This window comes from Homo sapiens, chromosome 7, assembly GCF_000001405.40.
Source record: "Homo sapiens chromosome 7, GRCh38.p14 Primary Assembly".
Taxonomy (NCBI): domain Eukaryota; kingdom Metazoa; phylum Chordata; class Mammalia; order Primates; family Hominidae; genus Homo; species Homo sapiens.
This window is the reverse complement of record NC_000007.14, coordinates 15,369,309-15,395,036: the sequence shown is the minus strand read 5'-3', so window position 1 is coordinate 15,395,036 and position 25,728 is coordinate 15,369,309. Positions and strand designations below refer to the sequence as shown.

At 36.2% G+C, this 25,728-nt stretch overlaps 1 protein-coding gene across 7 annotated transcripts in view; it reads left to right on the top strand.

Annotated features, from left to right (window-relative positions):
- AGMO (alkylglycerol monooxygenase) overlaps positions 1 to 25,728 on the top strand; it is a 444,793-nt gene that overhangs the window by 166,979 nt on the left and 252,086 nt on the right. For all 7 annotated transcript variants that reach the window (XR_001744759.1, XM_017012204.2, XM_011515402.4 and 4 more), the window contains exons 6-10: positions 858 to 924; positions 4,132 to 4,197; positions 4,287 to 4,366; positions 7,497 to 7,631; positions 9,475 to 9,591. Coding sequence is in view for 6 of the 7 variants with exons in the window: in XM_017012204.2 (XP_016867693.1) it covers positions 858 to 924; positions 4,132 to 4,197; positions 4,287 to 4,366; positions 7,497 to 7,631; positions 9,475 to 9,591 (465 nt within the window). In the remaining variant the exon portion in view is untranslated. The remainder of the gene's footprint in view (positions 1 to 857; positions 925 to 4,131; positions 4,198 to 4,286; positions 4,367 to 7,496; positions 7,632 to 9,474; positions 9,592 to 25,728) is intronic.

The window sequence follows — 25,728 nt, the reverse complement described above, 5'->3', positions numbered from 1 at the left end:
ATACCAAATGTCTTACATCTGGGCTGCTATACTTTTTTCATGACACCTACCTGGTTTCTATGATTTTTAGAATTTATAGACTCAGAACTAGGGGAATCTAAGAAATGTGAGAATTAGGCACCAGATATTGAAGTAACTTTAATTGTGAAAAAAGGCCTTTTTATATATTTGACTTCGAATTGTGCCTCTAAGATGTAATGGTAGACCATGCCTCTAAAGGTAAGAGATGATTTAGGATTCTATTTGAATAAGTAGGATCACCCTAATGCCGTAGATTACTGATGCAATAGTAAGTCGTTGCTGCATGGCTGATTTACAGGGTGAAACAACTCCGGGAAACATAACACAGTTGTTTTCACTCTCCTAGTTATACCCTGCTCCCGTAAATAAAGCTATAGTTGGAAGGCAAAAACTATAATGCAACATGAAATCTAAGGGTAGTGTGCCTTGGTGATAGTGGTGTGTAATACAGTAACATTCATAATCCTCAGAACAACGTTATTATGTAGATATGTTACTATTTCCATTTTAAAGATGAGAAAATTGAGATATGAAAACCTAGTCGTTTCCCCAGGATCACACAGTAGTAAGTGGAGATTCCTGGAGCTGAACTGAAAGTCGTCTAGCTCTTAACCACGACACCATACTCACCATGCCACGTCTCAGAATAGAGTTTTGAGATTACTATTGTCTTTATATGAATTCCAGATTTCAGTGGAACTTTTTTCCACTCTCTGATACCAACCCTGAAATTCGCAATATCTCTTAATTTATGTGAGTTTCTAATGTGAGCATTTATATACTAACACACATTTAATGATAACTACATGTATAAATATTCCTTCTGTTTTAAACAGGTCATCAATAACCTTGGTCCTTTGGAACTGATTCTTAATACTCCTAGCCATCATAGGGTTCATCATGGTAAGGAAGTTTTGTTTCTTCTCTCTTTTCTTCATTTCTCTAAAAATTGCATTATTATTTTCCTTAATCTCATTTAATCACAATTTCCCAATATAGTCAGCACACATTTTACAAATAAATAATAGTTTCTTCTTTTCTATCTTCTTTGGTACAAGCCTCATCTCCAAAGTATGAACTGGTGGGGTGGGGTGGGGTGGGGTAGGGGGATTTATCTATCTGACTTTTGGATTTTTCTTTCTACCTAAATCTTAGCTCCACTGTTGTAGAAAATGAGTTAACCAGCTGAGGAAATACACATTTTATGTTTTAAAGGATTCTGTCAAAGGCTACTTCTTGACCCAGTGCTGAAGGTCATTCCTATCTATAGTCAGAGAGTTAGTGGTCTTGAAAACTGTTTTGATTTAAGGAGAGCCCAATAAACAACACTTCACCTTCCTGCCTAAGGCGTTGAACAATCTCAGTATAAGCTGCGTTTCCCTGACGAGAAAATCCCAAGTGACAAGTGCCTAACGTTTAAAGACACCAACTTAAGTAACAACAAAAATGTTTACATTGTGTACCCCAAGCCCTATATAGCAATGTGCATATCATCATTATTTGTGATAGAAAAAATAGAAATAATTCAAATGTTTTTCAGCAGTAGAATAGATAAATCTTATATTATACATGTAATGGAGAAGGATATAACAATGAAAATGCCCAAACCATTGCTACATGCAAGGGCATGAATAAATCTCACAAACAATACTGAGAGAAGGAAGCCAGTAAAATGAATACATAAGTAAATGCTATTGTTCTGTTTCTATAAGTTTCCAGTCTTCCTCGGCAACCCTGAATCCCTGAAGCCCTGCCTTTCCAAGAAGGGCAGGTCCCTATCTTTATGGCAGGGAGTCGAGTAGAAGGGGACTCCCCAGAAGGGGAGAGGCCAGATCAGAGGGCACAGGCGGTTTCCTCTTCCAAACTCAACAGTCATTCTCCAATTCCAGGGAGGACAGAAAGTCCTTGATTTATGATTGGTTCGACTTTTAATTCTTCGACTTTCACAGTGATGCAAATGTGATCCATGTTCAGTAGAAATCATACCTTGAGAACCCATATAGCCGTTCTGTTTACTTTCGGTACTATATTCCATAAACCATGTGAGATATTCAACACTTAGGAAACAGGCTTTGTATTAGATGATTTTTGTCTAGGACTGCAGGCTGATGTAAGTGCTTTGAGCGCATTTAAGGCAGGCTAGGCGAAGCTATGATGTTCAGTAGATAAGGTGTATTTAAAGTTGTTTGTTTGTTTGTTTGTTTGTTTGTTTGTTTTGAGACAGAGTCTCATTCTGTCGCCCAGGCTGGAGTGTAGTGGCACAATCTGGGCTCACTGCAACATCCGCCTACCGGGTTCAAGTGATTCTTCTGCTGCAGCCTCCCAAGTAACTTGGATTACAGGTGCCAGCCACCACGTGTGGTTAATTTTTGTATTTTTAGTAGAGATGGAGTTTCACCATGTTGGTCAGGCTGGTTTCAAACTCCTGATCTCATGATCCTTCCTCCTTGGCCTCCCAAAGTGCTGGGATTACAGGCCTGAGTCACTGCACCCAGCCTAAAAGCATTTTTGACTTTTAATGTTTTTTAATTTAGATGGTTTATGGGGACATAACCACTCCATAAGTCAAGAAGTATCTCTAATTGGGGAGTGGAGAGGCCAAGGGGATTATACACTTGCAGTTCCTTCTATATACAAGGAAATAGGGCCGGGCATGTTGACTCACGCCTGTAATCCCAACACTTTGGGAGGCGGATCGCGGATCACGAGGTCAGGAGATAAGACACCATCCTGGCTAGCACGGTGAAACCCCATCTCTACTAAAAAAAATACAGAAAAATTAGCCGGGTATAGTGGCCGGCACCTGCGGTCGCAGCTACTCGGGAGGCTGAGGCAGGAGAATGGCGTGAACCCGGGAGGCAGAGCTTGCAGTGAGCCGAGATGGCGCCACTGCACTCCAGCCTGGACAACAGAGTGAGACTCCATCTCAAAAAAAAAATTAAATTAAAAAATAAAAAATATAGGAAGTCGAGAAGAACAAGTCCACATTACCAAATGAAACAGTTGCTACTTCCTCTGACTTCATCTTCGCATGCCCACGCCTGCTTATATCAGGGTTTCCCAACGTCGGCACTATTGACATTTTGGGACAGATATTTCTTTGTTGTGGAGGATGTTCGGTGCACTGTGGGAAATTTAGCAACGTCACTGGCCCCCACCCATTAGATGTCATTAGGATCCCCTCCCAGGTGTGGCTACTCATGTCTCCAGAAATTGCCAAATGTTCCTTAAGGGGCAAAATGCTTCCCTACTAATTCAGAACCATTATTTAAAGCATGTATATAGCAACGGTGTCTGCATCTGTTCAGCCAATCTCTCTCTCCTTTTATACTATGGGAGATTTTTCTTTGTATTTGTGCATTCAAATGTGTGGTTGCATGCATGGAAACCATGCAAAGGAATGGGAACACAGGATAGTTGAGCTTCTTGGGGTAATGGCTTGGTTAATTAATTATTCTTTTTCTTAAGATTTACAGTCATGTGGATATCATTATGTCTACTTAAGTTTTATAAAAAATGTATTAAATAAATAATGACCAGCTATTTGCATTATAATTATTTAGCGGCAGGAAAAATACATATGATATGAGTTTTGAAAAAGTTAAGGGTAGTTTATTTTTTACTGTGGCTTTTATGATCTTAAAAAAACTAGTCAGGTCTAACTCTAGAAAATTTCCTTCCTGAAACAGATGCAGTTAAAAAGGATAGACATCCCATCAAAAATTTAAAATAAAAACATTTATATACATCGTTTTCTGATTTTATTTCTCATTTATAATTTTTGGTATCATTTAATTCTTAATTTTTATTCTTTAATGGTCCTGAAAAAATTATTTACATTTATTCCATTTTTATACTGAAAAACTGTGACAAGAAAGCATGCATCTAGCTTTAAGAAAACACTTCCCCTTTTTAGTATAATTAATTGAAAAATAAAAATTCCATTATTAGACAATAAAATCTGATGTTATAAATGAGAAGACATTCCCAGGGAAATTGTACCCTGTTTAAATCTGAATTTTATGAATATATTCTAAAAAACAAGATGGAAGTATCTCAAAAAGCATAACTATTTTTCTGAAAAAAAATTTCTAATATTTTGTCTCATAGGCAGAAATCGTTATTGCATAGACAAAAATTATGCTGGTGTTCTTATTATTTGGGATAAAATTTTTGGTAAGTAAAATGTATTAAAATCAAAAAATTAAATCAGCTCCTTTACTTTACAGGAAGCCAAATCTCATATCTTTATATTTATCTTCCAGGGACATTTGAAGCAGAAAATGAAAAAGTTGTATATGGCTTAACACATCCCATTAATACATTTGAACCAATCAAAGTGCAGGTAACATACTTGTTTTTTATTCTTTCTTCATTTATATCATTTCATAAATCTTATAGTTAAGAGAAAAATCAGCTGTAGAAAAGTGAAAGTATATTACACTAACCTGAAAAAATTTTTAACTGTTAAAAAATTTACAAATAACTCTTTGTTACACAAGCAAAAGTTTGAATCAAATCAGGCAAAATACATTTTAAAACAAGTAATTTTCAAATATGTCTATGGCCTAGAATGAAAAATAAAGTGGCTTCTAAACATATCCTTTCTCAGAATGGACCTGAAATATGTTCATGTATTCAGTAGGAGCAATAGTAACATGTATAATTAAGGCTGATCCCGCAGTAAGAAAAATATTTGCTTCCAGGGTGCATGACTCTGGTTAGAAATTCATCGTGAGGCCTTTGTGTTACTGTTCTTGGACCCAAGTGTCAGGAACTATTACAGATTGGTTAAGTCTGTGCATTACCTCGCTTGCTAAGACTTGTTGGACTGGACCAGTTTTCTCTTAGACATGTGGTACTGGTTGTTCATTGGTCTCGATGGTTGGCACTAGAGAAATCAGGAATGTCTGTGAAGCTCTGATCCGTCAGAGTCAGACCACCACAAATACTCCTGGGGTTAGGCACTCATAAATGAGAAAAAGATAAGAATACTTGAAAAGCTGAAGAGGTGGGTCAATGACAGCTCTGTACGGGGGACTGGTTACAACATTCGGTAAGTGAGGAACTTACTGGCTCATGTTGGGTCAGCTTTTCCAGACTACTTCGAGTTTCACTGAAAGTTGAAATAACAAAATTGTTAACATCTATTGAGCTTCTACTATGTGCACTGCTAACAGCGCAGCAGAAAAATATTTAATGTAGCTATTACTAAAACCTTATAAAGTAGTGGCTCTTTTCATTCCCATTTTCTGATGGAGGAAACCAAGGTTCTCAGAATTTAAATAATTGACCCAAAGTTTGAAAACTTGTTAGCTGTAAACTTAACCAAGGTGGATTGAAAGGCTAAGCCCAAGATTTGCTTAACTCAATTTAACTGATACACAGTGCTGCCTCTTTACGTAAAGGGCCATAACAAATTCCCTTCAGTTGTTCAGTGAAAGGCATTTTTATCTCCTCGTACACCAAAAGAAGAAAGGTGGTTATCTCTCTTCTTTCTTCTCAACTATATGGCATTTCTATCTGTGTCTGTATCTTGATTAAACTTACTAAGAATATGATACACCTCAGGAGAATATAAGCAAATATTTTGGATCCTTTCTTAATAATAAGCTTTGTGTAAATAAAACCAATTGAGAAATGGTACACTGAAAGCTCCCTTTTCTTCATATAGGAGTTGTCTCCTTATTGCAGTCATTAAAAAAGAGACACCTTCATCTCTATCCTCTAGGGGCAGAGCTTTGCAAACTTAATGTTCATGTGAATCAGAGAATCCTACTAAAATGCAGATTCTGTTCAGTAGTTCTGTGGTCTGGTCCAAGATCCTGTGTTTTCTAAACAAGCCTCTGTATGATGCCAGTGCTGCCAGTTGATGGGTGATTTCTTTCAGAAGCAAGGCTTTGGGAGTGTACAGTCTTGCTGAGGAAAACGGCATTTATAATTGAGACAGAATGAGAAAGTGAATATTAAATACAATAAGAGCTGCACACATAGTGGGATGATTAGTATTTTGAGAGGAATGGTGGTCAGAAAATCACAGGTATTTAGGAACAGCTGCTGAAACTGTTAGGTTCAATTCTCTAGGTCTTTCCCCCTCACATTTCCTTCAGCATAGTAATTGCCACAAGTGGGTCTAAGGTTTACTCTTCTACATGTTTACTTACATTGTCAGAAATGTCAAGCCGGCAAGTTGTGATAATTAGGAATACTTGAACTTAGAAAAATATTCACTTATTTTCACTTCCATTCCTTTATATACAGGTAAATTTCTCACCTATTCTGCAGAGGCATCAAAGCAACTTAGGATGGCTCCCAACAGACACAGGGTTTTGTTTGTTTGTTTGTTTTCCTTATTATTAGGCGTAAATCATTGACCTTGCCCTCCTTTGTCATCACACATTTTCAGAGCATTGGGAAATAAATAAGTGAAAAACAATATTTTATTTTAAAACATTACCATATATTTCTCATGGCTTGTGTCCAGAATGATAGAAACAAAACTGTACTCAGTTTCCAAAATTACAAAACAAATTAAGTATATTAATGTACATTATAACTTCTACGCACATTGGTTTTCTGTATTATTATTATTGCAAAGCCCCAGGCGAAGCTTCCACCTAACATTTACCTATTCCTCAGATCTATTCCATTAACCCATATGCCTGAGGTTGCAATTTTTTTAATTTTTCCAATTAGAGCTTGGCGATGACCTTGAGCAGTAGGATATAAGTAACCCACATGCTTAGGGTTCCAATAATGGAACACTAGGCATAAATGGTTCTAAATTATTTCTGAATTGCTTCAGATTCCTTATTGTCATATTTTAAGCAATTTTAAATTATTTTTTATAATCTTAATGGTTCAACTCATTGAAAACTAGCAAAATCACAAATTCTGATAAAGCCAAAACAGAAACCCTGTCGCCACTAAAACTACAAAAATTAGCCTGGCATGGTGGCAGGCACCTGTAATCCCAGCTACTCAGGAGGCTGAGGCAGGAGAATCACTTGAACCCAGGAGGCAGAGGTTGTAGTGAGCCAAAGCCGCTCCACTGCACTCCAGCCTGGGCAACAGAGCGAGACTCTGTCTTGGGGAAAAAAAAAAAAAAAAAGAGAATGTGTCATTAGGGAGGGATGTTGAGTGCACAGGGTGCTAGTTAATTCCATTGGAAGCAAAGCCTCTTAACTCATTTTTTTCCTACTTTGCTGATTGTCTAAACAATTGCCCTGTTTTTACATTTCAAAATTATAATTTTATTGAACTTTAGATATATTGACAACAACGCACTTAATGGTATACAGTGCATAGAATAGATTACAGCATGGAATGCAATTACACATTTCTGTTGCTCTAATCAGGCATAACGTTTTAAATACGTAAATTACCTTGAACAATAAAATAATATACATAACTTTTGGTATTTAATCTTTCCTATTTATCTTATGTGAAATAAGCTCTTTTTTTATTGTTTCTAGTTCCATCACTTATTTTCCATATGGACTACATTCTGGGCCACACCTGGATTCTTCAATAAGTTTTCTGTCATATTTAAGGGACCGGGATGGGGTCCAGGTAAACCAAGACTTGGTCTCAGTGAAGAAATTCCAGAGGTAAATAGAGTTCACAGAATTGGAGATGGTGAAGATTGTCTCATATTGTCAGGTCTACAGCCAGCCTGTACATACGCTGTTTTCATGCAAATCTGTAAAAAGATGTTCCCCCAGTCAGATGCAGTCCTGTGGTGCATAACTTACTTAATGAGTATCCACCAACTTTGTGCCAATTAAAGGAGTGCCTTCTCCCAGGTGAACACTGCCTTTTACCTAGGAGCACAGATTGTGGAGCAGTGCTGCAGAGGCTGGTTTTCATATCGACTTGAACGCTTGCCTTTGTGTAGGGCATAACTTCACAAATACATGCAGCTCAGACACAGAGTCCTAGAACACTAGAGACGGAGGGAGCCTTAGGAATGAGCCAGTCTAAACTTAACTCCACTCATGAAAAACTGAGGCCCCCAGAACAGATGTATCTAAAGTCACATTAAGACAGTGTGGATTTTGGGTCAAACCATAACTATATTCATTTTATAGTAGAGTAGAACAATTAAATGCAGAAACCACATTGAAAACCAAAAATAAAAAAGATCTTTAAAACAGCAGAACCCAAATGAAAAATTCAGTTTTAACCCAAAATTACTCTTCTGGGGAAGAAAGAGAAGGTGCTTTTTAATCATTTAGAATATAAGTTGTGATTTCTTATCAAATAAATGTATAGTAATGCAGAAACAATAGGAAGAGTAAACTACTCTTAATTTCAAGGATGATACTATGTGTACAAAAGTTAGCCTGTGATGTTTCAAGGAAATAAGATGTTTTATTTAAATACTGTTATTTTGAAAAAATCCTGATCTAAATAATGACATTTTCTCATTCAGTTACCAACGCCGCTAGGAATAAGTTTCCCACTTCCGTTTATGTTCACAATTCATTGTGCAACAATCCACCAACTTGATATAGGTGAAATAATTTTTATATTTCAACTCCAAAAAGCTGTTTGCTATGATCGATTTATTATTTTTCATTTTGTCAATAGATAACTCAAAGTGAGTACAGTATTTTAAAGTTATGTGAGTGCTGGAGTCTGCATTAAAAAATATAGATGTGTAGCATTTTGGGGAAACTTAAATGCTAGAGTAGAAACGTAGTCTATTGGAAAAACTTCTCCAAAGTTTCCAATAAATAACTTTAGAAAAGTTGTTTCCAATAAAATAGTATTTTTCTTTGAAGCATGATTACCTACACTGCCAAGATCACCTTTTTTTTCTTTTCTTTTCTTTTTTTTTCTTTTGGGACTGTTGCCCAGGTTGGAGAACAGTCATGCAGTCCTGGCTCACTGCAGCCTCTGCCTACCAGGTTCAAGCAGTTCTTCTGCCTCAGCCTCCTGAGTAGCTGGGATTACAGGTGTGTGCCACCATGCCCAGCTAATTTTTTTATTACTGGTAGAGATGGGGTTTCACCATGTTGGCCAGGCTGGTCACGAACTCTTGACCTCAAATGATCCGCCTGCCTCGGCCTCCCAAAGTGCTGGGATTACAGGCGTGAGTCACCACATCTGGCACCTTCTGTTTTTTCTTTTACTTTGCTTTTGCCGCCAGATGTGATCGTGGACATATCAAATAGGGAAGATACATCCCATGCATTTTGGCTCTCTTTATTATTTGCACATATTGTTGAATTAGTTCTTATGCTGCTCTTTAAGGCAGACTACGTCATAATTGTAATGCTTTCAAAATGAGAAAGTCTCCTAACTTAGACATGTTTCTATTTTTAAAAATTATGTTTGTCTTTTTTTAAAAAAAATAGCAGATACTTTTTTCAAATATCTCTTAGTGTGAATTTCAGTAAGAAAAATGAGTCTGGAGCAATATAAAGGAAATGGTTCTTGTCTCCCTAGGTCACCGGCAAAGAAGTTCCCTTCTCATCATCTTCATCTCAGCTATTAAAGATATATACAGTTGTACAGTTTGCTCTGATGTTGGCATTTTATGAAGAGACCTTTGCAGATACAGCTGTAAGTAATATCCATTTTAAGTAGTGTGAGAACATTATCTGTTACTTTGTTTGAAAATGAAAATAAGCTCCCCATATTAAGGCTGTCATATATTCTCTGTAGTGGTCTGCTGTAATTTTGGCAACGTCTCACATTTAAATAGGTAAAACAAATCTTCTAGACTACTAAATGTAAATGAATGAATTCTATCCAAAATGCTTCTGTGCAGAATGTTCACTGAGTGGTATGCTGTGAATCTGTGTGATAAATAAGAAATTATTTGCCATAAACAAATTTTAAAACAATTACAATAAAAATACTTCAGAAGTCAGAATTAAATGTGTGGGAAATTACACTTTTCATCAGTTTCAACATACTTACCTTCACTTAGAGAATTCCCTGATAGAATTTAAAGGGTTTTCAGTGTAGAGTTTAATTCCTTTAGTTTGACATTTCTGAAACATTCAGAATATTCCAATTTGTCTGGTGCAAATAGAAGAGCACTAGACCAGGATTTAGTTCAGGGATCGCCACTTTGGGGATCATTTTTTTTTGGCCACAAAAGAATACTCATACTACCTAGGTTTTGGAAAGAGCAAAAATAACGTATATAAAAATATGTTGTAAATTGCAAAAAAAAAAAAAAAAAGAGAAAAACAGGTATTTTTTATAGATTTATTTGTATTCTTCATTAAAAATTTACAGTAGATCAAAAAGGTACATGAAAGCAGTAAGGTAACTAAATTGTAAGTAGGTGAAGTAGAAAATAGAATCACAGGTGAGTTTAAAAAAATGCTGTTTTTATACCTTGTTACCAATAAAGTAAGCACCCCATGAAAAACCTCAGTGAATCAGCAATGTTGAAAGTTACATGGTAACTCTGAATAATAGTTATATTGGAAAGAAACAGGTGTAGCAAAGTGGTGGTTAAGATACGCCTATCTTTAAGGTGTATAGGACACTTAAAATTGATGGATAAAATATACAAAAATGTAATTATTAAAATGCACAGAACAGCTAGCAAAAATTGAAAGACACCTAAGGAGTTAAAAATGTTGACAATATATGAATCCAGTGAGGCAACTGAACATATATTCTGATAGTTGTCCTAGCTGTCATTTTTAAAGTAATTAAAATAAACTTTAAAAATATAAAAATATAACTAGCATGCAACACTCAATGGCTTACATAGCAGCTTAAACTAGTGCATTAAAAGATGGACTAAATTGAGGCTGGGCGTGGTGGCTCATGCCTGTAATCCCAGCACTTTGGGAGGCCAAGGTGGGCAGATCACGAGGTCAGGAGATCGAGACCATCCTGGCTAATACGGTGAAACCACGTCTCTACTGAAAAATACAAAAATAAGTAGCCAGGCATGGTGGCGGGCCCTGTAGTCCCAGCTATTCAGGAGGCTGAGGCAGAAGAATGACGTGAACCTGGGAGGCAGAGCTTGCAGTGAGCCGAGATCGCGCCACTGCACTCCAGCCTGGGGGACAGAGCGAGACTCAGTCTCAAACAAACGAAAAAAAAAATAGATGGACTAAATTAATCATCCATTACACAGTGCTAAAGTCAATACATAAACAGATTAAAAACATGGAAGAGATGTTATCTTCAGATATGAAGAACTCTGAAAAAGCCTAAAAAGAAAAATACAACAATCCGGGAAAAAAACCTAAATGAATAAAGATAGGATTAACATTCAGTGAATACAGAGAATAATAAATCATTTTCAAACAACAATGTGTATTATTGATAGGCATGAGTCTATCTAGTTAAAAACTCCATAAGTAAAAGAAATTAATAAATAATATATGCTGAAAAATGAATCTAATCTAGGATTATCAATAATTTCAATATAAGACCTATGGAATTATTTTAGTTAGGTACCAGTGTAATAATCTAAGTATGAAGATGTTACTGTAACAGTTCTATATATTCTGTATGATTTATATAGTTAATTATAAGGAAAGGAGGTTTCTTGAAATAGGTCCTGAGCAGGACTTTTAGGCAGGAGTGTTAGGTGGGACTTTTTTTTATTGTTTTTTTATTGTATATGGCAGAAATTCAACGCAGAGTGGATTTATTAACTAACGTAACTGAAAAGTTTGGGACTATTGCTTCTTTAGACAGTGCGGACCCAAGAGGGCAAATAATGTCATCAGGAATCTTCTTTACTTCCTACAGCTATGCTTTTCTGAGTGCAAATTCTCCTGTAAACTGTGACCCTTCATGGTGGCAAGATGGCTACCAACTTGCTCTAGGTAAAATACTGCCATTCAAAGAACCCCACAAGTGAAAATACCCAAATTGAGCCTGATGTTGTGGCTTAGTTTATCTGTACATCACTGAACGAATCTATGTATGTGGTCCTAGATTATGTACCCAGCCTACGAATGGGAGGGCAGGGTCAACTACACAGGATCCTCATGGTCTATGAAGAACAACAGAGTGGCTTGAAAAAAAAATTGAGGTGATAGATTATAGAAAAAGGCAAATAGGCTCAAGTAGGCAAAAATAACAAATGTTACATCTATATAACAATAGATGTTATCACACATAAATACGTGATTTGAACTTGTTTTCAAACAAAGTATCTAATCATTTATAAACACCTAGTGACATATAAAAATGCCTGTAGGATAACATCTTAATTAAGATATCTATGGTAGGAGTGTCCATTAGGTGTCTTCTGCTCTAAAAAAACAGAATATTCAATTAAATTTGTCCGGAATATGGCAAGTGTTTCCAGGATTGATTACTTCAGCAGTTCAAACATGCAGCGCTTCTAAAAGGGCTTCTCTAATTCCTTTGGATTTTGTTATCATAAAATAATTGCAATAACTCCAGTCATCCTGCCCTTACAGCTTTTGACCAAAGGCAGCAAATTCAATACTTCTACAGCATCTTGTTAATTTTATTTCATTTTATTTAAGAAGGAAAACACACACGGAGACACATTTCTTCTGAGCGAACTTCCTTTCATGCCTCATTTTTCAGGACATGCCCACACTAAACCCATAACTAACATCAGGTCATGAATTTAACCATGAGTAAATTATACCAAGTATAATTCTTGCCCTCAGGATACAGTGGTACTCACTTCCCCCGAGCACATTCCTCGTATATACCTGGACAAAATCAGCACAGTATTAGTACAAAAGAAATGGGAGATATGTTTTGGCTGGGCATCCAATTGTGTATGCAATGTATCCTGCTAAATAGATTTTCAGAAAGTTGTTATAGAGATTATTGAATAATGTATTGAGAAAAGCCATCTTAATTTTTTTAAACTTTTATTTTAAGTTCGGGGGTACATGTGCAGTTTTGTTACATAGGTAAACTTGTGTCATGAGGGGTTTGTTGTATGGATTATTTTATCATCTAGGTATTAAGCCTAGTACCCAATAGTAAAATCCTCTTCCTCCTCCCACCCTCCACCCTCCAATAGACCCCAGTGTGTGTTGTTCCTCTTACGTGTCCATGTGTTCTCATCATTTAGCGCTCCCACTTACAAGTGAGAACATGCAGTATTTGGTTTTCTGTTCCTGTGTTAGTTTGCTAAGGATAATGGCCTCCAGCTCCATCCATGTTCATGCAAAGGACATGACCTCATTGTTTTTGGTGGCTGCATAGTATTCCATGGTGTATACTTACCTAATTTTCTTTATCCAGTCTATCATTGATGGGCATTTAGGTTGATTCCATGTCTTTGATATTGTGAATAGTGTTTCAGTGAACATATGTATGCATTTAACTTTATAAAAGAATGATTTATATTCCCTTGTATGTATACCTAGTAATGGGATTGCTGGGTGGAATAGTATTCCTGTCTTTGTCTTTGAGGAATTCCACACTGTCTTCCACAACGATTGAACTAATTTACATTCCCACCAACAGTGTATAAGCATTCCTTTATCTCCACAAGCTCACCAGCATGTTATTTTTTGAGTTTTTAATAATACCCAGTCTGACTGGTGGGAGATGGTACACCATTGTGGTTTTGATTTGCATTTCTCTAACAGTCAGTGATGTTGAACTTTTTTTTTTCATATGATTGTGGCCTGCATGTATGTCTTCTTTTGAAAGGTTCGTGTTCTTCGCCCACTTTTTTATGGGATTGCTTGTCTTTTTCTTGTAAATGTGTTTAAGTTCCTATAGATGCTTGATATTATACCTTTGTTGGATGCATAGTTTGCAAAACTTTTCTCCCATTCTGTAGGTTGTCTGTTCACTCTGTTGATAGTTCCTTTTGCTTTGCAGAAGCTCTTCAGTTTAATTAGATCCCATTTGTTAATTTTTGGTTTTGTTGCAATTGTTTTTGGCGTCTTCATCATGAAATCTTTGTTTTTGTCTGTGTCCTGAATGGTATTGCCTAGGTTGTCTTAAAGGGTTTTTATAGTTTTAGGTTTCACATTTAAGTCTTTAATCTATGCTGAGTTTTTGTATATGCAGTAAGGGAGGGGTCCAGTTTGAATCTTCTGCATATGGCTAGGCAGTTATCCCAGCACCATTTATTGAATTAGGGAATCCTTTCCCCATTGCTTGTTTTTGTCAGGTTTGTTGAAGATGAGATAGTTGTAGTTGTGCAGTGTTATTTCTGAGTTCTCTGTTCTGTTCCATTGGTCTATGTGACTGTTTTTGTGCCAGTACCATGCTGCTTTGGTTACTGTAGACCTGTAGTGTAGTTCAAAGTTGGATAATGTTATGTCCCCAGCTTTGTTCTTTTTACTTAGGATTGTCTGGGCTGTTCGGGCTCTTTTATTGGTTCCATGTGCATTTTAAAGTAGTTTTTTCTAATTCTGTGAAGAATGACAATGTTTGTCTAGTTCTGTGAGGAATGTTTAATAAGCATAGCATTGATTCTATAAATTGCTTTGAGCAATATGGCCATTTAAATGATATTGAATCTTGCTATCCATGAACATGGAATGGCTTTCCAGTTGTTTGTGTCAATATCCGATTTCTTTGAGTAGTGTTTTGTAGCTCTCCTTCTAGAGATCTTTCACCTCCCTGGTTATCTGTATCACTAGGTATTTTATTATTCTTGTGGCAATTATTAATGGGAGTTCATTCCTAATTTTGCTCTCAGTTTGACTGTCATTGGTGTATAGAAATGCCAGTGATTTTTGCATATGATTTTGTATCCGGAGACTTTGCTGAAGTTGTTTATCAACTTAAGAAGCTTTTGGGTTGACACCATGGGGTTTTCTAGGTAGAGGATCATGTCGTCTGCAAATAGGGATAGTTTGATCTCCTCTCTTCTTATTGTTGCCCTTTGTTTCTTTCTCTTGCCTGAATGCCCTGCCCAGAACTTAAAATACTATGTTGAATAGGAGTGGTGAGAGACGGAGGGCATACTTGTCTTGTGCTGGTTTCAAGGGGAATGCTTCCAACATTTGCCCATTCAGTAAAATGTTAGCTGTGCGTTTGTCTTATATGGATCTTTTTATTTTGAGGCAATTTCCTTCAATACCTAGTTTATTGAAAATGAGCAATATGAAAGGGTGTCGAATTAAAGAAAGTCTTTTTCTGCATCTATTGGGATAATCATATGCTTTCTGTCTTTAGTTCTGTTAACGTAATGAATCACATTGACTGATTTGTGTATGTTGAACCAACCTTGCACCCAGGGATAAAGCCCATTTAATCATGGTGGATAAGCTTTTTGATGTGATGCTAGATTTGGTTTGCCAGTATTTTATTGAGAATTTTTGCATTACTGTCAGTCAAGGATATTGGCCTGAAGTTTTTGGAATAGTTTCAGTAGAAATGGTACCAGCTCTTCTTTGTACCTCTGGTAGAATTCAGCTGTGAATCTGTCTGGTGCTGGGCTTTTGTTGATTGGTAGGTTATTTGTTACTGCCTCAATTTTAGAGCTCACTATTGTTCTCTTTAGGGTTTTAATATCTTCCTGGTTCAGTCTTAGGAGGGTGTATGTATCCAGGAAATTCGTCTAGATTTTCTAGTGTATGTGCATGTAAGTGTTCATAATATTTTCTGATTGTTGTTTGTACTTCTGTGGGGTCATTGATAATAACCTCCTTGTTTTTGATACTGTTTATTTGAATCTTCTGTTTCTTCTTTATCAATCTAATTAACAGTTTTTCTACTTGATTAATGTTTTCCCCAAAACAGCTCCTGGATTTGTTGATCTTTCCAATGGTTTTTCATGTCTCAATCTCCTTTGCTTCAGCTGTGATTTTGGTTATTGTCTTGTGATAGCTTTGGGATTTCTTTGCTCTTGATTTCTCTAGTTATTTAGTCGTGATACTAGGTTGTGAACTTGAGATGTTTCTGACTTCTTGATGTGGACTTCTAGTGCTATAAATTTCTCTCTTAACACTGCCTTAGCTGTGTCCTAGAGATTCTGGTATGTTGTGTGTTGTGTCTTTGTTCTCATTAGTTTCAAAGAACTTCTTTGAAACTTTTGCCTTAATTTCATCATTTACCGAAAAGTGATTCAGGAGCAGGTTATTCAGTTTCCATGTAATTGTATGGTTTTGAGTGAATTTCTTAGTCTTAATTTCTAATTGTGCTGTGGTCTGAAAGAATGTGGGTTATGATTTCAGTTCTTTTGCATTTGCTGAGTAGTGTTTTACTTTCATTTTTGTGATTGATTTTAGATTATGTGTCATGTAGCGATGAGAAGAATGTAAATTCTGTTGGATTTTAATGTCTTTGTATGCTTTTAGACATCACTGAGATTAGAAAGGCACTATAGAATTTTGCCACCCAGAACTCTGGGTGGAGAGTTCTGACTGTATCTATCAGGTCCATTTGGTCTAGTGCTGAGTTCAGGTGCTGCATATCTTTGTTAATTCTCTGTCTGGATGATCTAATATTGTCAGTGGGGTAGTAAAGTCTCCCACTATTATTGTGTGGGAGTCTAAATCTCTTTGAAGATCTCTAAGAACTTGCTTAATAAATCTGGGTGCTCCTGTGTTGGGTGCATACATATTTAGGATAGTTAGGAATCCTTGTTGATTTGATCCCATAAAGGGACGGAGAAAACACTACCAAGCAATTGGAAAACAGAAGGATGGGATGCAATCCCAAGTTTCTGACAAAACAGACATTAAACCAACAAAAACCATTTTAATTTTAACATTATTTTAAAACTTTAATGATTGGTGTTGTCCATATATATTTATTTTGTGCGTGTGTTCAAAGTTAGTAACCAAATTATTCTTCATATAGGAACCCAAATTTTAAACAATAGATAAGTTTGTATGTGCTGTCTGTCCAAATATAATTTTTTAAAATAAAAAGCCACAGGGAAACATGAAATCGACTTGTATTACTGTAGCAGAAAACAATGAGTTAGATTCTTGTTTCCATTTTGTGAAGCAAATGCAGGAACTAGGATACTATGGGGCCAGAAGTTTTTTGAAAATGTAATGATTGGACATATAGTTACTGTTTGTTTTTCTTACCTGTGCTAGAGCTAATGATGAAACAAATTGCATAGTGTACCAGGTTTATTTGGCTTTAGCCCCCAAAATGACAAAATTTGAAACCAAGAATTTCTTTTTGGACCAAAGCTTTTATAACTGTGGCATGAACCACATTACGCTTGGCAGTGCACACCTAAACATCAAACCACCAAAATGCTTAGACTTCATATTTGTTTAAGTAAGGTCTCATAACCCCTCACTTAACTACTTTGTTTAATATATTAACTTAATATGTTCTCCCCAAGTAGAACTAAAATCTACATCATTAATAGAGCTTAAATAGTTGAATGAGACCAAAAGAAAAGCCAGGGTCATCTGTGTCTAAATATCCAACTGTTGATATACTAACCAATGTTGAGTACAGTTCGCATTGTTGATTTTTCTTAGTTGTATTAAATAAAATCTCTAAATAAATTATACTGATTCATAGAAACAAAAGATGGAGACTTACTCATTTTAAGCTATGTGAGCCTCCATGTTAAATTTGAAATAGTGGCCATTAACATTTGAATGCCTGGGCATGAGTGAGTGCTTCCTGGGTAAAAATGTAGCCAGACACTGTGTACATTAAAATATGTGACTTACAGCATGGTTTTCTCAAGATTTCTCTACTGTCATGAAAAAATATATGAGAAACTCATGTAGATATATTGACGAAGAGAAATATCAAGTGTTGAAACCCTTTACAAACTGAAAGTAGAGTTGGAGACAGCTTCATTCCTGACACAAATTAATTTTGAAAGTTGTATTTGCTTGTTTCCCACATGTGTTTTTCTTTGCTGAGAACATGCTGTGTGACTAGGAAGAAAGGTTGTTTATTTGCAAAATTCTATAGTGCCTTTCTAATCTCAGGGATGTCTAAAAGCATACAAAGACATTAAAATCCAACAGCAATATTTTTTTCCAGATTCACTGTAGCCAATAATCACACAGAAAAGTTGTGGCTGACTTGTAATTGGGGACCCTGCTGTGGTCCCACAGTCTTTTCTGTTTATGCATATATTAGAGAAGATAAATACTTACTTGTTTTATGTATGCAAGTTCTATATAAATAACTTTGGGAGTCAAGAGAGCAATTTGATGGCCACGACAAAGGTGTAAGAGACACATTCCTTTCTTACTGAAACTTGCAAAGCATATATTTAAATATATAGTGTTTAGTTTAGTGATATGACCCACGGACTTTTATGTTGATTTTGGTTTAGTAATCCTTGAAAAATCAATTCCTCAGCTGCCAGTGTCCACTTCCTGGGGTGATATCATGAGTACATGTTGGAAATAAAAATATGTATAATATGTATTGCACTAGCATGTTCTACAAACTAAAATTGAAAAGGCAATGCTTCTTTTAACTAATAAACACACAAAAAACAGTTTGAATATTCAATAAGGTCTTATAATAGGATATGTAATAAAGTTACTGCAGATACATTTGAACACAGATTACTTTGATGATATATTTCAAGTTACAGGGCATCTGAGAGTATCCAATATAAATTTGGAAACATTTTTATGGTTTTTAATTCCCCTGAATGCCATACTCTGTAAAACATTATGGGCACTACAATTTTGTAACTAATATTTTCATGTTGGCGTTTTTTAATAAAGCTGCTGAAAAAAACCTGTAAAAAAATCAATATATTTTGGTCGACTCTTACAGCAGAGAGTGCCACCTGCACAAATTAGATCTAGCTTAGGTTCTTCATGAAAGTTTTCAAGTCAATGTCCAGGGTATACTGTTTTTCTCTAGTCTATCCCCTTGGGATTTCATTTCCTTAAGATTTTCGGTGGTAACTAAGTTACGTAATGTGGGGGAAAAAAAAGGAATGTGGGCCAAAATGAGCATCAATTATAATACAAAGGCATGAAATGAATGTAATGGATTTGTAGTAACGGAAGACTATTAACAAAAGCTACCTTTCAAGTAAGCATAGACTACAGAAATGTAGAAAAGTGATCATTGTATTTTCCTAAATACATTATTTTTTGTCCACTACATTTAAATACATTGATAAACTGGGAAATTACACATTTAATAGTATATGCATCAAATAATAGAATGTTAACTTTGAAATTAAATATATCTTCATATCACTATAAGTGTTTTCTAATTTGGTGAGGATCAGGCAGCTTCTTTAAAAAGTTACATAACAAACACAATGATAACCTCCTCATAATTTAAATCATAACCTCACTTAGATTTGTTAAGTGTATGTAAAAATTAAGCAATTTAATTCTGTTTTGGAAACTCCCAAGTCTAAATGCGCAGTTCTTTGGAGTTACATTTCCTCATTAAAAGTATTCCACGTGAAGAGGCTGGGCACAGTGGCTTACGCCTGTAATCCAGCACTTTAGGAGGCCGAGGTGGGTGGATCACTTGAGGTCAGGAGTTTGAGACCTGTCTGGCCAAGGTGGAGAACCTCCGCCTCTGCTAAAAATACAAAAATTAGCTGGGTGCGGTGGCAGGTGTCTGTAATCCCAGCTACTCTGGAGGCTGAGGCAAGAGAATCACTTGAACCCAGGAGTTAGAGGTTGTGCAGAAGCCAAGATTGTGCTACTGCACTCCAGCCTAGGCAACAGAGCAAGACTCTGTCTCAAAAAAAAAAAAAAAAAAAAAAAAAAATCCTTTTAGAAAGAAAGTCTGATCTGTCTCTGAAACAGTCTTTTAACATCTTTTCTCTTCTGTATTTTGGAAAATAATGAAAAGGTATTTAGTTTGTAGATCCACTTGTTTCTTAGTAAGAAAATAAAAGTTTCCTATTAAAAGTGCAAGGAAATTTGATCTTGAGGCAAATACAGATTATTCAGAGTGGCTCCCACAAAATAGTTTTATGGAGCATTCAAAAAAGATAATATGTTAACAACAGACTCTTTTGGCAACTGTTGTAGGATCTTTCTTTTCTAGAGGTTTTCAGTCTTGGACCAATTACTACCCAATACTGAGGCACAACCCTTTGGTGTTCTCTACTTAGTGAATGTCCAGTGAATCATGAGATTTTCCAGTCTGTCTGGTAGGAGTATGCATTACACACATACTGGGCATTGTAACTCTGATCCTTTTTTGCCCTTGGATAATTTCTTCAGGGTATCACGCATGAGCTGACTTGCTAAAGACTTGACCGACACTCTGCAAATTTTTAGGGTTCTCTATGCATAACTCTTCCTTTTTTGGTACTCTATTTTCCAAATGCTAGCCTTCTTGGTTTCTCTCAAATCCTGGCTCTTTCTCCACAATTCAGGGAATCCACCAAGCTCCTCTGGGTCCCTCTGTATTGTAACCTAGAAACTCTCAAGGTGGGAAACTGGTGCAATATGGATCATGTCATTTGTATCCTATTTCCCTGAGATCGCTGTTCTTTTTTGCCTTGTGCCCTGTGATTTGAAAACAATCATTTCAGATATATTGCTATTGTTTGTTTTTCCAGGTAGGAGGGTGAAGTTCTCTATCTTATCAGGTACACATTCATATTTTAATGGAGTAGAACCATAGTGTCAAATATAATTGTTACATATCTAATATTTTGGTATTTATAAAATACAATGTAATCTTTGGCTTTTATTTCTTACAATTTTTTGTAGAAACTGATGAACTCCATGTCAATTCAATGTTTTGAACTATATGTTAATTATACTTTTTTAGCCAATATATTTTCACCTTTGATATATTTATTATGTTTGCTTCTTGCTTGAAATTCTAGCAAATGTTTACTGTAATTATATTCCTCTTAGTATGCTTTAGTGGTAGCCACCTAGGGAGTTCTGAAAAAGTAGGGAAAAGAATAAGATAGCCAATATTGACAATTATTTTAAAGAGCAAGAAATTCTTTCAAGACAGATTCTTGAGACTCACATATAATTATACATTGCAGTATGGTGTCACATTGGATTCTGCTCTTGTGTTTATGTTGTAACACTGAGAAGCATCTTCAAGCCTTCGGATTCAGCATAACAAATCCGCAAGCTCACAGTGTCTGGAAGATTGGGGCCCTCAGAGCTGCAGAGATATTAATAATGGCAGCAGGGATAAGTATGCCAAGAAAGCCAATCTGCTGCCTTCACAGCAGAGATTGTAGAGGTTTCAGTGTTAGGCAATATTAGCCTCATTTTACAGATGTCTGAGAAGATGAGCATTAATCAAAATAATAACTTTTGTAGACCTTGTCAGGCACCTTTTAGAGAAACTACTAAAAACGTACCAACTTGTTTTAATAAGAAAATCTAGAGATTTTCATTTCTAAAGCCTTAGAATAAAATTATGGAAAATATTATCAAATCATCTTTGACAATGCATAAAGTTTAAAAAAAGAATTTTTTCATATGGAAACATACTGTTATTTTAGGATGTAGTGACTGAGTTTGATACCTCCTTTGTGAGGTTTGTTTGGTGGAGAAATGTGAGAGGAGGTTGTATTGACCCCTAAGGTTTTCCCATGCAAGAGTAAGACAGTGATAGTCCTCTTCAAGAAGAAAAGGGCTTTCTTCTTTATAATATCTGTGGGCAAAAGAAGAATTCCCACACATTCATTGATTAAGTAACATGGCGTCAAACATGTAATTCTGCTGTTTTTGTGTTGTTAATGATACCTTTTCCTAAGTATTTTTTTCCCATCTATTTAAAGAAAGTTGGAGTAGATAGGGTTCTGCAGGCGTAATTGGGGCTGCAAATGTAAACCATCATCCTTGCACTGGGAAACCTATGAAAACGAGCTACCAAATAATTTTTTTTTTTTTTGAGACAGAATATCACTCTGTTGTCCAGGCTGGAGTGCTGTGGTGCCATCTCAGCTCACTGAAACCACCTCCTCCCAGTTTCAATCAGTTCTTGTGCCTTAACCTCCCAAGTAGCTGGAATTAAAGGCAAGTACCGCCACCATGCCCAGATAATTTTTGTATTATTTTTGTGTTTTTAGTAGAGATGGGGTTTTGCCATGTTGGCCAGGCTGGTCTCGAACTCCTGGCCTCAAGTGAATTGCCGACCTCAGCTTCCCAAAGTGCTGGGATTATAGGCATGAGCCACCACACAGTAGTGAAACTTGACAGATAATTTTTAAAAAGGAAAAATAATTTATTGCCTCATAAAGCTATTTATGGTTATGATCTTTCCCAAATGCTTTCTGTGATTAAGAACCGATCATACGTCCAAATTAAAATGGAACTAATTTAGAATAATTTCAATTTAGCACTTTAGGACAGAGATACTTTATATGAAAGATAAACCAGCAGTATATAATTTGAAATGGGAGTAAATTAAATGAAAAAATAAAATCCTCCCTGTTATAAAAAACTAATAAGCTACGTGTGATTTCACATATTGTTTAAAACACAGGAGACTAAATATTTATAGTCTTCAAAACCTATAAATTCTATTTTTTTTTCTTTTGCTCTAGTGTAGTTGGCCAGTGGTCTTACGGGCAAATACTAAGGTGGTATGAATTCAAGGGCAGGGATTTTGTTGTTCTTGGTTACTCAAACTCATATTTACCATAGTGCCCAGCACATATTCAATATATATTCATGGAATGAATTTGTAGAATTTATTTATTTATTTATTTTTGAGACAGAGTCTCGCTGTGACGCACAGGCTGGAGTGCAATGGCATGATCTTGCCTCACTGCAACCTCTGCTTCCCAGGTTCAAACAGTAGTTTACTCCTGCCTCAGCTGCCCAAGTAGCTGGGACTACAGGTGTGTGCCACCATGCCTGGCTAATTTTTGTATTTTTAGTAGAGACGGGATTTCACCGTGTTGGCCAGACTGGTCCTGAACTCCTGACCTCAAGTGATCCGCTCACCTCAGCGTCGTAAAGTGCTGGGATTACACGCATGAGCCACCACACCCAGCCGCATGTTAGACTTTAGAGACGTTCAACTGATTATCTCCCTTAGTAGTCTATCAAAGGATACTATATAGAAAAACTTAAGTTCCATAGGAAAATGAACCCTAAATTAAGCATATGTGTTCTATGTTGAATTCCCTCTTCAATATTCTCAGTTTCTTTTAAACTCATTTTTGGGATATTCTGTTTTTTAAGGAATTAAAGGGATAAATATTAAGGTACTTAATATTTAAATATTTAATATTTAGAAACACTTAATAATTTAATATTAAACTATTGATTGAATAATTTAGTTGAATTTATTTTAAAGTTTGAGGAATATAAAATATTGGTATTAGATGAGGTGTGGTGGCTCATGCCTATAAATCCCAGTACATTGGGAGGCTGAGGCCAGACTTGAGTCCAGGAGTTTGAGACCAGCCTGGACAATGTGGTGAAAACCCATCTCTACAAAAAAAAATACAAAAATCAGCCGTTGGCTGGGTTCAGTGGCTCACGCCTATAATCCCAGCACTTTAGGAGGCAGGGGCAGGCAGATCACCTGAGGTCAGGAGTTCGAGACCAAGCCTGGTCAACATGGTGAAACCCCATCTCTACTAAAAATACAAAAAAATTAGTCGGGTATGTAAGGTGGTAGGTGCCTGTAATCCCAGCTACTAGGGAGGCTGAGGCAGGTGAATTGCTTGAACCCAGGAGGCGGAGATTGCAGTGAGCCGAGATGGCGCCATTGCACTCCAGCCTGGGCAACAAGAACGAAATTCTGTCTCGAAGAAAAAAAAAAAAAATTAGCTGTGCGCACGGTAGCATGTGCCTGTAGTCCCAGCTACCTCTGGAGGCTGAGGCAGGAGAATAGCTTAAGGCTGGAAAGGGAGGTTGTCGTGAGCTTAGATGGTGCCATTACACTACAAACCTGAGTGATGGGAGTAAAACTCTGTTTCAAAAATAAAATAAAACATTGTTATTAAATATTTAATATTAAATTATTGATTAATTGTATTAATGTTTTCTTCTAGGGTTTTTATAGTTTGAGGTCTTAGGTTCAAATCTTTAATCAATCTTGAGTTAATTTTTATATATGGTGAAAGGTAGGGGTCTGGTTTCATTCTTCTGCATATGGCTAGCCAGCTATCCCTCTACCACTTACTGAATAAGGAGTCTTTTCCCCATTGCTTTTGTCAACTTTGTTGAAGATCATTCTGGACATTGGCCTAGGGAAATAATTTATGAGTAAGTCCTCAAAAGCAACTACAACAAAAACAAAAATTGACAGATGGGACCTAGTTACAATAAAGAGCTTCTGCACAGCAAAAGAAACTATCAACAGAGTAAACAGACAGTCTACAGAATGGGAGAAAATATTTGCCAACTACCCATCTGACAAAGGACTAATATGCAAAATCTATAAGGAACTTAACCAGATCAACAAGAAAAAAACAAATAGCCACATTAAAAAATGGGCAAAGAACATAAACAGGCACCTCTCAAAAGCAGACATACAAGTATCCAACAAACATGAAAAAATTATCAACGTCACTAATCATTAGAGAAATGCAAATCAAAACCACAATGAGATACTGTTTCACACCAGTAAGAATGGCTATTGTTAAAAAATCAAAACAATAGATGCTGGTGAGGCTAAAAAGAAAAGGGAACACATACACACTGTTGGTGAGAATGTAAATTAGTTCAGCCACTGTGGAAAGCAGTTTGGAAATTTCTCAAAGAACTTAGAACTACCATTTGACACAGCAGTCCCATTACTGGGTATATATCCAAAAGAAAATAAATCACTCTAAAAGACACATGCACTCATGTTCATCGCAGCATTATTCACAATAGCAAAGACATGGAAGCAACCTAGGTGCCCACCAACGGAGGATTGGTTGTTGAAGAAAACGTGTTACATATATACCATGGATTACTATGCAGGCATGAAAAAGAATTCATGTCCTTTGCAGCAACGTGAATGCAGCTGGAGGCCATTACTCCAGGTGAATTAGTGCAGGAGCAGAAAACCAAATATTGCAAGTTCTTACTTATAAATGGAAGCTAAACATTGGGTACCCTGGACATAAAGATGACAACAATAGACACTGGGGACTAAGGAATAAAGGAGGGGGGCAAAAGTTGGAAAACTAATTGTTGGGTACAATGCTCACTACCTGGGTGATAGGATCATTCCTATCTCAAACCTCAGCATCAGGCAATATACTAATGTAACAAACCTGCAAATATATCTCCTGAACCTAAAATAAAATTTGAATTTGTAAAAAATGAAATAGATTCAGTTTTCCCAAAATAACATATTAGCAATGTAATAACATTTAATGTATTAATACTAAAACAAATATAAACATTTTATCAGTCTTTCAATAAACATATTGAGTTCTATATTCTAGGCCCTTGGGATACGACAGTGAATGAAGAGATAAAAACTTTCATTGAGTTTACATCCTAGCAAGAGGAGACAGACAACAGAGAATGCACCAACAAATATATACGTGTATAGAAGTGGAAAATCATATGAAGAGCAATAAAACAGAAAATGGTTACAGAGAGTTATGGAGAAGTACTATTTTGTGTCGGAGGGACAAGGACATGTATTTGAATAGAGACCTGAATGAAATGCACCCTAATGATCACTAGGGGAAGTCATTTCAAGCAGAGGAATAGTAGGTGAAACAGACTTGAGTGGGGAAAATGTTTGTCATGTCCAGGAACAGGAAAATTTCTGGCATGGCTTATGTTGAGTTAAAGAGAGAACACTAGGGATTAATAGTGGGGTATGGCGTATTTGGGCTAGAGTGATGACTTTGAGCTTTATTCTGAGTGAGCCCCTGGAGGGTTTAGAACATGTGTGACATGA